A 15154-nucleotide genomic window follows, 5' to 3' on the forward strand; every position below is an offset into this window, starting at 1 on the left:
TACACAGGGCATTTGAATTATACATCAAAGTGATGCTAAGGAAAAAGTGAGGCTGATGTCTTCATGAGGTATTCTTACATGATGTTGCTTATTAATTTTATGAGCCAAGAAGTTCTTTATGTAATTCGTAGTAAATTTTAAGAGAACATTTTTACACATAGTATACAAAGACTGATATTGATGGAATCTAAATTATCTAGACAGAAATCTATGAGCATATGGTTTACTTTGGGGAAGATAATGGTGCATTTAAAATTACAAAACAAAACAACACCCACTTTGGCAAACAGAACTAACTGAGTTTGGGTAGATGAAGGCTATGGGGAATCCCTGCCAGAGGATGTGTACACTTAAGTCCTTAGGGTAACTCAATATTATCATAAGATAAATACCTCTTAACTTTCATTCTAAGTGATAACACATTTAAATTTTATGTTTTGTTTTGTTTTGTTTATTTAGGTCTCACCAAAACTGAAAAAATAGAATCAGAGATACACGTTGTACGTGGTGAAGGTTTTAAGACTGTTGCAGCAACACGATATGAAACAATAACAGCCATGACCAACCTGGCCATAGTAAACTGTCAAGTATATGGGAGAAATGCACTTAATCTGAAGGTATGCTAGATCTTTTTAATGACAGTGCCCTCCTGTATTATCAATTATTTTTGCTTTAAATTTCCCAATATAGATTAGTTTCCATGGTATTGAGGGGAATTTTCCTATTACAATAGAGATTTCTTAGGAACACATTCAAATTGCATCTCTAAACCTATATTCCTAGTTTGCCTTCAGTTTAAAAAGATTCTGAGGTTCAAGTCAATCACAGTGCTTTTTTTATTACTTAGCATAAGAGAATTTGAATTCAGATTTATTGTATTTTTAAGTTATTAGCAATCTTTGGTTCTGTGACAAATCTAGTACTAGGATGGCTTTTCACTGAACACAAGCTCAATATCATGAATAGCAATAATATTAGTTATCATTTGTTAAGTATCCACTATGTGCCAAGTACACATTACTCCTAAAACACAATTATGTAACGTAAGTATTATAATCTTTACCCTACAGATAAGAACACTGAGCCTTAATGAAAGTAACTTGTATAAGATCACACAGTAAGCAAGTTGTAGAGCTTGGGTTTGAACCCAGAACTTTCTGGCCTCAAAATCAATGCTTTTTTATTTTAAGTTTTATTTTGAAATAAGTTCTAACTCATAGAAAAGTTGTAAAAATAGGAAAAGCTACAGAGAGTTTATTTGAAAAATTAGGCATTAAAATAATATTCACATATACTGGGAAATTTGGAAAGCCAAATGCATGGCTGGGGCTAGAAACATTCTTAGAAAAGACCTGAGAAGACCCTAAGCTTTCACATTTCGCTGACCTCTAAATGCAGTACAAGCAGGAAGTAAAGGCTAAGGTGGTTGTAAATGGCCTGGCTAAGCATTGAAGGAGTGCCTTAGCACAGAGTCGATCTGAAAAGATGAAGTTCTCTCTGTCCTCCTCCCTCTGTCTTCTGTTGTGTAAGGAAATCATGTCAAAACAATAACTGAACACAAGTTAAAGGAGCAGAGATTTTAAAGAAAATATATGTCAAAGAATACAGACTTCACAAAAAAAGTTTAGAAAATTATTAAACAACCCAATAGCTATAGCTCATATCAAGCCTACAGAAATTCTGGAGCTGAAAAATACAATAACTGAAATGAAAACTTCACTGGAAGATTTCAATAGTAGATGTGATCAGGCAGAATAAAAATAGAAATAGAAACCAAAACAACAAAACAAACCCCAAAGAGAGGGGAAAATGTGATTTCCAGAGTTAACACATAATAATTATTAAGATGTCCAGTTCCACTTTTTAACAAAAATTATGGAATATGCAAAAAAAAATGCTTGTTCACAGAAGAAACTAACAGAAGCTCTATTTTTTCACGTCAGATGGGTAATGTGCCAATGTCATAAAAAGGCTTGAGGGAGGCATATTTTATTCATGAGCATAAAAAGCCAATCATCATGCTTATGAACTACTAAAGGATTAGAAACTACTTATGAGGAAGCACAGACATTGGACTTACTGGAAAAAGGACCTTAAATAAACTGTCTTAAATATGTTCAAACTGCTAAATGAAACTATGGACAGAGAGCTAAAAAGAATAATGTGTGAACAAAGATTTCAATAAGGAGAATAATGTGTGAACAGAGATTTCAATAAAGAGATGGAAATGACAAAAGAAAAAACACAAAACAAAACAATTCTGGAGCTGAAAACTACATTACCAAACTGAAAACTTCTCTAGAAAGTTTCAATACTAGAAATATTGATTAGGCAGAATAAAGAATTATAGAACTAGAAAATCGGTCAATTGAAATGATCAAGTATGAAGAACAGAAAGAAAAAAAATAAAGAAAAATGAACACAACCTAAGGGACCTCTGGAACATCATCAAGTATACCAACATACATTTAATGGGGTCTCTGGAGAAAAGAAGAGAGAGAGAGAGGAAAGGGCAGAAAAAGTATTTGAAAAAATAATGGCCAAAATATTCCAATTTGATTAAAAGCACAAATCTATACATCCAGGAAGCTCAATCAACTCCAAGAAGGATAATTGCCAAGAAATCCACAATGAGACATATAATCTAATTGTCAAAAGCCAAAGTCAAAGAAAGAATCTTGACAGCAGCAATCAAGAAGTGTTTTGTCATGTACAAGGGCTCTACAATGAAATTCACAGCCAGTTTGTTGCCAGAAACTATGGAGGCAAGAAAGGAATGGGATGACATCTTTATAGTGCTGAAAGAAAAGCAATCTGTCAACCAAAAGTCTATACCCAGAAAATCTATCCTTCAAAAACAAAGGAGTAATTAAGACATTCCCCAATAAGCAAAAGCTGAGGGCATTTGTTGCCAGTACACCTGCCCTATAAGAAATGCTAGAGAGTTGTTCAGGCTACAGTGAGAGAACATTAGACAGCAACTCAAAGTCTTAAGAAGAAATAAAGAACTCTGATGAAGGTAACTACAAAGGTAAATATAAAAGTCAGTATTATTTTGGTTATCGGTTTATATTACTTTTTCTTTCTTATATCACTTAAAAGACAAATGTGTAAACATAATTATAAATGTATATTAATGGACACACAATGTATAAAGATTTAATTTGTGACAAAACAGAAGGGAGATGAAGCCATATAGGAACAGAGATTTTGTGTGCCATTGGAGTTAATTTGGTATCAATCCAAACTACATTGTTGTAAATTTAGGATGCCAAGTGCAATCCCATAGTAACTACTACTGAAAAACAATATTAAAACATACACAAAAGGATGTGAGGAGGGAATTAATGTGGCACACTACAGAAAATTAATTAAATACAAAGAAGGCTGTAACGAAGGGAATGAACAAAACCAACAATGACAAAACATTCTGGAAAGGGCAAAAATGTAAAGGCAGTAAAAGTATCTGTGGTTTTCAGGGTTGTGGCAGAAGGGAAGAAAGGATGAATAAGAGAAGCACAGGTGATTTTTAGGGCAGTGATTCTGTATGATACTGTAATGGTGAATCTATTTCCTTATGCATTTTGAAAACCCATAGAATATATAACACAAGGTGTGAACTATAATGTAAACTATGGACTTGGGTTGATAATGATGTGCCAATGTTGGTTCATTGATTGTAACAAATATACCAACATGGTGTACAAGTTGTTAATGTTGGGGGAAGGCTATAGGTACATGTGGTGAAGGGGTATGTGGAGAAGAAAAATCTCAAATTAAGAACTTAACTTTACACCTTAAAGAACTTGAAGAAAGAGAGCAAACTAAATCCAAAGCTAACAGAAGGAAGAAAACAATAATGATAAGAGCAGAGATAAATGAAATAGAGAATAGAAAAACAGTAGAGAAAATTAATGGAAACAAAGATAGGTTATTTGTAAAGATCAATAAAATAAACAAATCATTAGCTAGACTAAGTAAAAGAGAGAGAATGTACAAATAACTAACATTAGTCATGAAAATTGAAATATTACAACTGGCCTTACAAAAATGAAGGGGATTGTAAGAGAATACTATAAATAATTGTACACCAATGAATTATATAACCTAGATAAAATGGAAACATTTCCAGAAAAACACAAATTACCAAAACAGACTCAAGAACAAAAAAAATCCGAGCAGATGTTTAATAAGTAATGAGATTAAATCAGTAACAAAAAACTTCCAAACAAAGAAAAATCCAGGACCAGATGGACCTAATTTCAGGCAACCCTAATTTCAGACAAAACAGGCTTTAAACCAACAAAGATCAAAAAAGACAAAGAAAGGCATTACATAATGTTAAGGGCTCAATTCAACAAGAAGACATAACTATCCTAAATATATATGCACCCAATAGAGGAGCAGCCAGATTCATAAAGCAAATTATTAGATTCCTACAAAAAGACTGAGACTCCCTCACAATGAATAGTGGGAGACATCAACACTCCACTGACAGCATTAGACAGATCATCAAGGCATAAAATTAACAAAGATATTCAACATTGGACAAAAATGGATCTGGACCTTTACAGAACTCTACCCCTAAAACAACAGCATTCTTCCCATTTCCACATGACACATACTCTAAAATCAACCATGTAATCGAACACAAAACAAGTCTCAGCAAATGCAAAGTAATTGTATTAGTACATTGTCATACTGCTATGAAGAAATACCTGAGACTGGGTAATTTATTAAAAAAAAAGAGGTTTAATGGACTGACAGTTCCACATGGCTGGGGAGGTCTCACAATCATGGCAGAAGGCAAAGGAGAAGCAAAGACATGTCTTACATGACGATAAGCAAGCATGTGCAGGGGAACTGCCCTTTATAAAACCATCAGCCCTCATGTGACTTATTCACTTTCAGCATGAGAAAAACTCACCCCTATGATTCATTTACCTCCCACCAGATCCCTCCCACGACACATGGGGATTATGGGAGCTACAATTCAAGATGATATTTGGGTGGGGACACAGCCAAACCATATCAATAACCAAAATTATACCAAACACAATCTTGGACCACAGTACAATGAAAATAGAAGTCAAGACTTTTAAAATCACTCATACCATACAATTACATGAAAATTAAATGACATGCTCCTGAATGACTCTTGGGTAAATCTGAAATTAAGGCAGAAAAGAAGTACTTTGAAATTAATGAGAATAAAAATGCAACATATTAGAATCTGTGGTACACAGCTAAGGCAATGTTAAGCAGGAAATTCATAGCACTGAATGTCCACATCAAAAAATTAGAAAGATGTTACATTAGTAACCTAACATCAAAACCAAAAGAATTAGAGAAGCAAGAGTAAACCAACCCCAAAGCTAGCAGAAGACAAGAAATAACCAAAATCAGAGCTGAACTAAAGAAAATTGAGACACAAAAAAGAATTCAAAAGATCAGCAGATCCAGGAGTTGATTTTTTGAAACAAATAATTAGTAATATAGGCCACTAGTTAGACTAATAAAGAAGAAGAAAGAGAAAATCCAAATAAACACAATTAGAAATGACAAAGGGGAAGTTACTCCTGACCCCACAATAATAAAAATAACCATCAGAAACTGCTACAGACACCTCTATGCACACAAAGTAGAAAACCTAGAAGAGATGGATAAATTCCCAGACACATACATCCTCCCAAGACTGAACCAGGAAGAAATTGATTACCTGAACAGACCAATAATGAGCTCCAAAACTAAATCAGTAATAAATAGCCCACCAACCAAAAAAAGCCCAGTGCTACACAGATTCACAGCTGAATTCTGCCAGATGTACAAAGAAGAGCTTGTACTATTTCTGCTGAAACTATTCCAAAAAAATTGAGGAGGAGGGGCTCCTCCCTAACTGATTCAGTGATGGCAGCATCATCCTGATACCAAAACCTGGCAGAGACACAACAGCAGCAACAACAACAACAACAAAACTTTAGGCCAATATTCTTGATGAACACTGATGCAAAAATCTTCAACAAAATACTGGCAAACTGAATCCAGCAGCACATCAAAAAGTTTATCTACCATGATCAAGTAGACTTTATCCCTGGGATGCAAGATTGGTTCAACATATGCAAATCAATAAATGTGATTCATCACACAAATAGAACTAAAAACAAAAACTATATGATTATCTCAATTGATGCAGAAAAGGCTTTTAATAAAATTCAACATCACTACATGTTAAACACTCTCCATAAACTAGGTATTGAAGGAACATACCTCAAAATAATAAGAGCCACCTATGACAGACCCACAGCCAACAACATACTGAATGGGCAAAAATTGGAAGCATTCCCCTTAAAAACTGGAACAAGTCAAGGATACCCTCTATCTCTCTCTCTTTTTCTTTTTTTTTTTTTTTTTTTTGACGGAGTCTCGCTCTGTTGCCCAGGCTGGAGTGCAGTGGCACGATCTTGGCTCACTGCAAGCTCTGTCTCCCAGGTTCACGTCATTCTCCTGCCTCAGCCTCCTGAGTAGCTGGGACTACAGGCGCCTGCCACCACGCTTGGCTAATTTTTTTGTATTTTTAGTAGAGACAGGGTTTCACTGTGTTAGCCAGGATGGTCTCTATCTCCTAACCTCATGATCCGCCCACCTCGGCCTCCCAAAGTGCTGGGATTACAGGTGTGAGCCACCGCGCCCGGCCAAGGATGCCCTCTCTCAACACTCCTATTCAACAAAGTATTGGAAATCCTGGCCAGGGTAATCAGGCATGAGAAAGAAAGAAAGAACATCCAAATAGGAAGAGAGGAAGCTAAACTATCCCTATTTGCAAATGGCATGATCCCATGTCTAGAAAACCTCGTAGTCTCAGCCCAAAAGCTCCTTAAGCTGATAAACAACTTCAGCAAAGTCTCAGGCTACAAAATCAATGTGCCAAAATCACAGACATTCTTATACACCAACAACAGTCAAGCTAAGAGCCAAATCAGGAACACAGTCCCATTCACAATTGCCACATAAAGAATAAGATCTTTAGGAATACAGCTAACCAAGGATGTGAACGATCTCTACAAGGAGAACTATGAAACACAAAGTTCAAAGGAATCAGAGATGACACAAGCAAATGGAAAAATGTTCCATGCTAATGGATAGGAAGAATCAGTATTATTAAAATGGCCATACTGACGAAAGCGATTTATAGATTGAATGCTATTCCTGTTAAACTACCAGTGACATTCTTCACAGAACTAGAAAAAACTATTATAAAATTCATATGGAACCAAAAAAGAGCCTGACTAGCCAAGGCAAGCCTAAGCAAAAAGAGAAAAGCTAGAGGCATCATGCTACCTGCCTTCGTACTATACTACAGGGCTATAGCATGGTGCTGGTACATAAACAAACACATAGACCAATGGAACTGAATAGAGAACCCAGAAATAAGGCTGCATACCTACAACTATCTGATCTTTGACAAAGCTGACAAAAACAAGCAATGGGGAAAGGATTCCCTATTCAATAAATAGTGCTGGGATAACTGGCTAGCCATATGCAGAAGATTGAAACTGGACCCCTTCCATACACCATATACAAAAATTAATTCAAGATATATTAAAGACTTTAATGTAAAATGCAAAACTATAAAAACCCTGGAAGACAACCTAGGCAATACTATTTGAGGCATAGGAATGAGCAAAGATTTAATGATAAAGACACCAAAGCAATTGCAACAAAAGCAAAAATTGACAGATGGGGTATAATTAAACTAAAGAGCATCTGCATTACAAAGAAAACTATCAACAGAGTGAACAGACAACCTACAGAATGGGAGAAAATTTTTGCAAACTATGCATCTGACAAAGGCCTAATATCCGGCATTTATAAGGAACTTAAACAAATTTACAAAAGAAAAACAAACAACCCCATTAAAAAGTGGGCAAAGGCCATGAAAAGACACTCCAAAAGAAGACATACATGTGATCAACAAGCATGAAAAAAGCTCAATGTCACTGATCATTAGAGAAATGCAAATCAAAATCACAATAAGATACCATCTCACATCAGGCAGGATAGCAATTACTAAAAAGAAAAAAAAATAACAGATGCTGTTGAGGTTGTGGAGAAAAAGGAACATTTATACACTCTTGGTGGGAGTGTAAATTAGTTCAACCATTGTGGAAGACAGTGCAACAATTCCTCTAAAACCTAAAAACAGAAATATCATTTGACCCAGCATCCCATTACTGGGTATATACCCAAACCAATATAAATTATTCTATTATAGGGACACATGCGTATGCTTATTGCAGCACTATTTGTGATAACAAAGTCATGGAATCAACCTAAATGCACATCGATGATAGACTGGATAAAGAAAATGTGGTACATATACACCATAGAATACTATGCTGCCATTAAAAAGAACATGAGCATGTCTTTTGTGGGAACATGGATGGAGCTGGAGGCCATTATACTTAGCAAACTAACTCAGGGACAGAAAACCAAATATTGTATGTTCTCATTTATAAGTGGGAGCTAAATGATGAGAACACACGGACACATAGAGGGGAACAATACACACCGGATCCTATTGGAAGGTGGAGGGTGGGAAGAGGGAGAGGATTAGGAAAAATAACTAGTGGGTACTAGGCTTAATACTTGGGTGATGAAATAATCTGTACAAGAAACCCCCATGGCATAAGTTTTCCTATATAATAAACCTGCATGTGTATCCCTGAACTTAAAAGCTAAATTTAGAAAAAAAAGACCTAGAAAACATATTTAAGGAAATAATGGCTGAAATTTTCCCAAATCTGGAGATAACCAGCAGCACTCAAGTACAGGAAATTCAAAGGTCACCAATTAGATTAAATGCAGGAGGAATTTCCCAAGGTACATCATAATCAAATTAGCAAAAATCAAAGAGAAAGAATATTTGAAGCACAAAGAATAAAGAAACATGTGACGTTCAACAGAGCCCCAGTACAGCTTTCAGCAGATTATTCAGCAGAAACCCTGCAGGCTAGGAGAGAGTGTTGAAGAAAAAAAAAAAACAAAAAACCTCTCAACTGAGACTACTATACCCATTAAAGTGTCTCTTCAAACACAAAGGAGAGATAAAGACTTTCCCCAAATAACAAAAGATGAAGGAATTCATAAACACCAAACCTGTCCAAAAAAATGCTACAGGGAGTCCTTCCATCTGGAAGAAATGGACCCTAAGGTGTAACAAGAAAACATTTCAAAATATAAAACTCACTGCTTCAAGTAAGAAAATTGAAAACTAGACAAATTCAGAATATATTAATACTGTAATTGTGGTAAGTAAACCACTTACATCTTAAATATGAAGACTAAAAGACAAAACTATTAAAAACAACAATTGCAACAGCTGGTTAAGAGATAGGCACTATGGAAGGATGTAAGTTGAAACATCAAGAAGTCAAAATATGTAGAAGGTGCTATTAAAGTGTGGAGTTTGTTTTTGATGCTTTTCCTTGTGAGCAAAGTCAAGTTGTCATCAGTTTAAAATTGCCTATTATAACATGTTTTTTGTAAGCCTCATGGTAACCTCAAAGCATAAACCTGTAATAGCACAGAATCAAAACACATTACTAGAGAAAATTACTTAAACACAAAGGTAGTAAGAGAGGTAAAAAGGAAGAAAGTATTCACACAATAAGCAGAAAATGAATAACAAAATGACAATAGGAAACCCTTACCTATCAATAAAAACCTTGAATATAAGTAAATAAATAAATAATGTAAGCCCCAGCTATATGCTGTCTATAAGAAACTCACTTTCTCTATAAAGACACAGGCTGAAAATGAAGGGATGGACAAAGATATTCCACGTAAATTGAAACCAAAAAAGAGCAGGAGCAACTATACTTATATCAGATAAAGTAAACTTTAAGTCAAGAATGGTAAGACAAGGAGGGCCATCGTATAAAAACCAAGAGGACGGGCTGGTCTCAAACTCCTGACCTCAGGTGATCCGCCTACCTCGGCCTCCCAAAGTGCTGGGATAACAGGCATGAGCCACTGCACCCGGCCCTTGGTTATACGCTTTAAAGAATTTGTTTGCTATTTTGCACATTTCTGCCTTAAGACTGTGTTTCTAGCAACTATTTAAACTTATAAACTCTTCATTGATAAAGAATAAATCTTATATCACTAAAAGATGAATATGCAATAAGATGTTTTCAGACAAAGAAAAGCTGAATTCATTTTTCTCAAGCTTATCTCTACTACAAGAAATGTTGGAAAAAAACCTGAGGAGTACAAAAAAAAATTATACCAAATAGAAACCTAGTTAATTAAGAAACAATGAATAGCACCATAAGTGGTAAATAATCAGTGAATATAAAGGACCTTTTGAAACAATCTTGAAATCTCTTTAAAAGAATACTGATTATTTAAATAAATACATTAATCATATATTGTGGGTGTTATAGCTAATATAAAAGTAAAATATTTGACAACAGGAGTACAAAAGGTTGGAAGGGGCTAAATGTATATATCTATTGTAAGGTTCTTTTTTTTTCTTACCCTTTTCTATGGTGCTGATATTGTAAGGTTCTTTAATCATGAAGTAGTAGAATATTTTTTGAAGGGTGGTTGTGTTAAGGCACATATTGTGATCCTTAAAGAAGTCACTTTTTTAACAACACTAAGGAGAATAACAAGAAAGTCATTTTTAAAAAGTGGTGTTTGAACAAATCGTCTGTTCACAGTAAAGAAGGCAAGAAAAGAATAGAGGAATAAGGCTGAGTGCTGTGGCTCATGCCTGTAATCTAAGTGCTTTGGCAGGTCAAGGCAGGAGGATTCCTTGATGCCAGGTGTTTGAGGACAGCCTAGGCAACATGGCAAGACCCTGTCTCTACAAATTTTCTGTTTAGAAATTAGCCAGGAATGGTGACATGTACATGTAGTTCTAGCTACTCAGGAGGCTGAGGAAGATCATAAGAGCCCAGGAATTTGAGGTTTTAGTGAGCTATGATTGTGCCACTGGACTCCAGGCAGGGTGACAGAGCGAGACCTTGTCTCTAAAAAAAGGGGGAATAGAGAATAGAAGAACAGAAACAGATCAGACAAACAGAAAACAAGTACCAAAATGGTAAACTTTAGCCTAAACACATTAGTAATTTTGTTAAAGGTAAATGGGTTAAACACCACAATAAAAAAAATAGAGATTGTCAAACTGGCTAATGAAGAACCACTCAATTATTTGCTATTTACTAGGAAGCGTACTTAAATAAAGATACTGATGGTTAAAAAGTAAAACTGGAAAAAGATAACAGTAGGCATTATAAAGCTCTTATGGCTGTATTAGCTGACTAGGTAGAAAATAATACTAAAGAAAAAGAATATTACCAAGTATAGAGAAAAGTTTGAAAATGTTTAAAGGGTCAATTCATCAAGAACACAGAACAATCTAAATGTGTATAGATATAATTAGAATGCCTCAAAATTCATAAACCAAAATTTGACAGAACTAAAGTGAGAAGTAGAACAATTCACCATCATAACTAGAGATTAGACTTAATATATCTTGATCAAGAATTGATATGTGCAGTCAAAAACAATTCAATAAAGATATAGAAGATCTGAAATAACTCCAGCGACTAACTTGACCTAATTAACATTTATAGAATGATACATCCAACAACTGCAGAATAAACATTACTTTTTAGGTACACATAGAACAATTTCAAGATAGAACATTTGTTGGGCCATAAAACCTGTCTCAGGAAATTTTAAAAGATTGAAATATTGTAGTTCTCGTACCACAACAGAAATAAAATAGTCACAATAAGATATCTAGAAAAGTACCAAATATTTGTGCTAAATATTAATTTAAATATTAAAAAGCACTAAGTGTTTGGAAATCAAACAACACACTAATTAAAAAATAGGTCAAGAAAGAAAACACCGAGGAAATCAGAAATATTTTGAACTGAATAACAATGAAGACAGTACAGAAATTGGCATATTTAACAAGAAGTTTCAGATAGATGCTAGAGTAACAGATAGAAATCAGAGAAATAGAGGTGGAGATATAAAAAGGGGGTAAAGAAAATAATTAAATATAAAATAGATTCAATTATATTTCAGCACATAGCAATGTTTGCTTGTTATTGATTGAAATAATTCTGTCACACGTGTAATACTACACTTATCACATACAGAAATACTTAGTCTGATATGGTTTGGATCTGTGTCCTCACCAAGTCTCATGTCAAATGGTAATCTCCAGTGTTGAAGGTGGGGCCTAGTGGGAGGTGATTGGATCATGGGGATGGATTTCCACCTTGATGCTGTTCTCCTGATAGCAAGCGAGTTCTCATGAGATCTGTTAGTTTCAAAGTGTGTGGCACCTCCCCCGTCTTCCTGCTGCTCTGGCCATGTAAGACCGCTTCCCCCTTCACCTGCTATGATCGTAAGTTTCCTGAGGCCTCCCCAGAAGCTGAGCAGATGCTGCCATGCTTTCTTTACAGCCTGGAGAACCGTGAGCCAATTAAAGCTCTTTTCTTTATAAATTACCCAGTGTCAGATATTTCTTTATAGTAGTGTGAGAACAGCCTAATACACAGTGCTTCTACTTTGCTTCTATCTTTTACATACCAAAGAAATTATTATCATGACAGACTAAAAAAAAATGAATGGACGAGGAGTATAGGCTTGTTAGTATATTGTGTAAAACATTCTCATTCAAATTATGTGCTGATTTTGTTTTACTCTTGTATAAACTATTTTGTGCCTTGTTAGTGATTAACACCTTATCTCTTGTCACTTTCTTTTAGGGCTTTTTTATCCTAAATTGTCCAGACTTAACACCTTTGGCTTTCCAGTTGATATATCTTAATTTATCATTTAATGATCTTCATTACTTTCCCACAGAAGTGAGTCAACTTTTATTGTTATGTACTGATATAACTTGTCGTGAATAATAATTATAATAAAAATAGACGTCTTTTAATACCTTGAAGTTACTATAAAGTACTGTAAATGTATTTTGGATTGCATCTTTTGAATGGCTTATTTTCAGAAGCACAAAATGTACAGTACATCTTTCTTAGGAAATCCCATGATGTAATCCTCAAAGACTATGTTATAGTGAGACTCTCAAATGTGTTCTCATAATTCTATAATGTATATTAAATATTTATTCTTCTAACTCTGAATGTAATCTAAAATAAACCTTATTTATGTGCCAATCAGAAGCTTTAAAAACAAAGTAAACATGCAGTGTTGTAATAAGTTTTAATTACCAAACGATAAAATATAATATTCTGCTTAATAAAATGTATGAAGGATAATCAGATATGAGATGAGCTAATTTAATGTCATTTCAAGTGAATGAACCATTATGAGTGATTAGGACAAATTACGTTTTTCGTGTCTTTAGTCATTGCTTCATTGATTACTGGGTAATTGGTGGTTTTGTGAATTGATTTCCAGAGTATTGTCTTTTAGTGAGTTTATTTTTGGCAAATGTATTTTCTTCTTTCAATCAGATGGTATTGAAAACATATATTTTCCATACTTTCTCTATAATATAATGTTTTTATTTTCAATTGGAGAAGTTATTTCTTTTCTAATACATAACACCAGTTTTATTAATTTGACTAGGAGAAATTGACAAGAATTCCCAAGGAATATAGTGATCTGAGTTCTTCACACTAATTTAACCTTTCTTCTAAGTAGATACAGATAATATTTGTGTATCTGCCAAAGAAAACTCCATCCACTAAAAAATAAATGTGTGAAGACAGGAGAGCTAGTCACTTGTAAGATATAAAGTGCTCATTGTTAAAGTGACAGAGATCAACTTGTCATTAAAATGCAGGTCTGTGTTATATAGCTATAGATAAAATATTCCAATGAAGATGGTAATATCTAAGCTTAGAGAGGCTGTTTTGGGGACAGGCTAATGAGGCCCAGTTGTTAGCATGGCATAAAGGCAATGAATAAAAGGCTGGGGACTGAGGTAAGTGGGGTGATTCAAATTATTACCGATTTCATGGAAAATTCAAAATGGTTGAATTAGGCAAATTGCAGTGTCCACTAAAATAGTTTCAGATGGGAGAAGGTAGAAGCAGAAATGTTAAATAAAGAAGATTAATATAGCAAACTCTATATACATATACTTGGTCTTCTTCTCTAAGATTCTTAAACAGTCATAAAATCATAGTAATAAGTATAATAATGTATTGTTAGGTCTGTAACATATATGGATATGATATATGTAGAAATTATAGACAAAAAAGGAAGAAGGAATTGAATATGTATGAAGAACATTTTCATATCTCACTGGAATTAAGTTAGTATAAATCTGAAGTAAATTCTGATAAGGTGTATATTATAACCTCTAAACAATCACTAAGAAAATAACTCAAGAGAACATACTGAAAACATTTATTGAAGTCATAAAATGTTACACTAGAACATATTCACTTGATGCAAAAAAAGGCAGTAGAGGAAGAATTAAAAGAACATATGACATATAGAAAGCTAAAAGTGAAATGACAGATGTAAATCCAATCATGTCAATAATAACATTAAATGTGAATATATCAAACAATCCAATCAAAAGATACAGATAGTCAAACTGTACAAAATTATACAAGTTCTTATACAGATTCAATGATACGCTGTCTGCAGGAAACACACTTAAGATTAAAAGAAACACACTTAAGATTGAAGAGGTTGAAGCCAAAAGCATGAGAAAATATATATCATGCAAACAGCAACAATAGAAATGCTGGAGAGACTATACTAATATCAGACAAAATATATTTTAAAGCAAAAAAAGTTACTAGAGATAAAAAGAGACATTTGTCAATTTATCAGATAATAGAACTTTATAAACAAATGTTTATTTAGTAACAGAGCCCCAAAGTATATGAAACAAAAACCAAAGGAATTGGAGGAATAGAAAATGCAACTATAATAATTGGACACTTCAATATCCCACTTTCGATAATGAATAGAAAAATTAGGCAGAAGAACAAGAGGGAAATAGAAGAATTGAACAACACTATAAACCAATTAGACCTAATAAATCTGTATGGAATGTATTAGGGTCTAACTCAAACCAATAGCAGCAGAATACACAATTCTTGAGTTCATGTAGAACATTTTCCAGGATAAATCATATGTT

The 15154-nt window shown here is 34.1% G+C and overlaps 1 protein-coding gene and 1 non-coding gene across 23 annotated transcripts in view; one reads left to right on the forward strand and one right to left on the reverse strand.

Annotated features, from left to right (window-relative positions):
• Window positions 1-15154, forward strand: part of LRRC63 (leucine rich repeat containing 63) — a 65188-nt gene that overhangs the window by 21805 nt on the left and 28229 nt on the right. For 21 of the 22 annotated variants that reach the window (XR_001749498.2, XR_007063660.1, XR_941519.3 and 18 more), the window contains 2 exons: window positions 460-617; window positions 12795-12893. Coding sequence is in view for 9 of the 22 variants with exons in the window: in NM_001282460.2 (NP_001269389.1) it covers window positions 460-617; window positions 12795-12893 (257 nt within the window). In the remaining 13 variants the exon portion in view is untranslated. The remainder of the gene's footprint in view (window positions 1-459; window positions 618-12794; window positions 12894-15154) is intronic. The other variant, XM_011534993.2, reaches the window with a different exon arrangement.
• LOC124903262 (small nucleolar RNA U13) lies at window positions 1938-2041 on the reverse strand. The gene has a single exon (XR_007063961.1). It is a non-coding gene; the product is annotated as a small nucleolar RNA U13 (small nucleolar RNA).

Source organism: Homo sapiens, chromosome 13 (genome assembly GCF_000001405.40).
Source record: "Homo sapiens chromosome 13, GRCh38.p14 Primary Assembly".
In the NCBI taxonomy this organism is placed as follows: domain Eukaryota; kingdom Metazoa; phylum Chordata; class Mammalia; order Primates; family Hominidae; genus Homo; species Homo sapiens.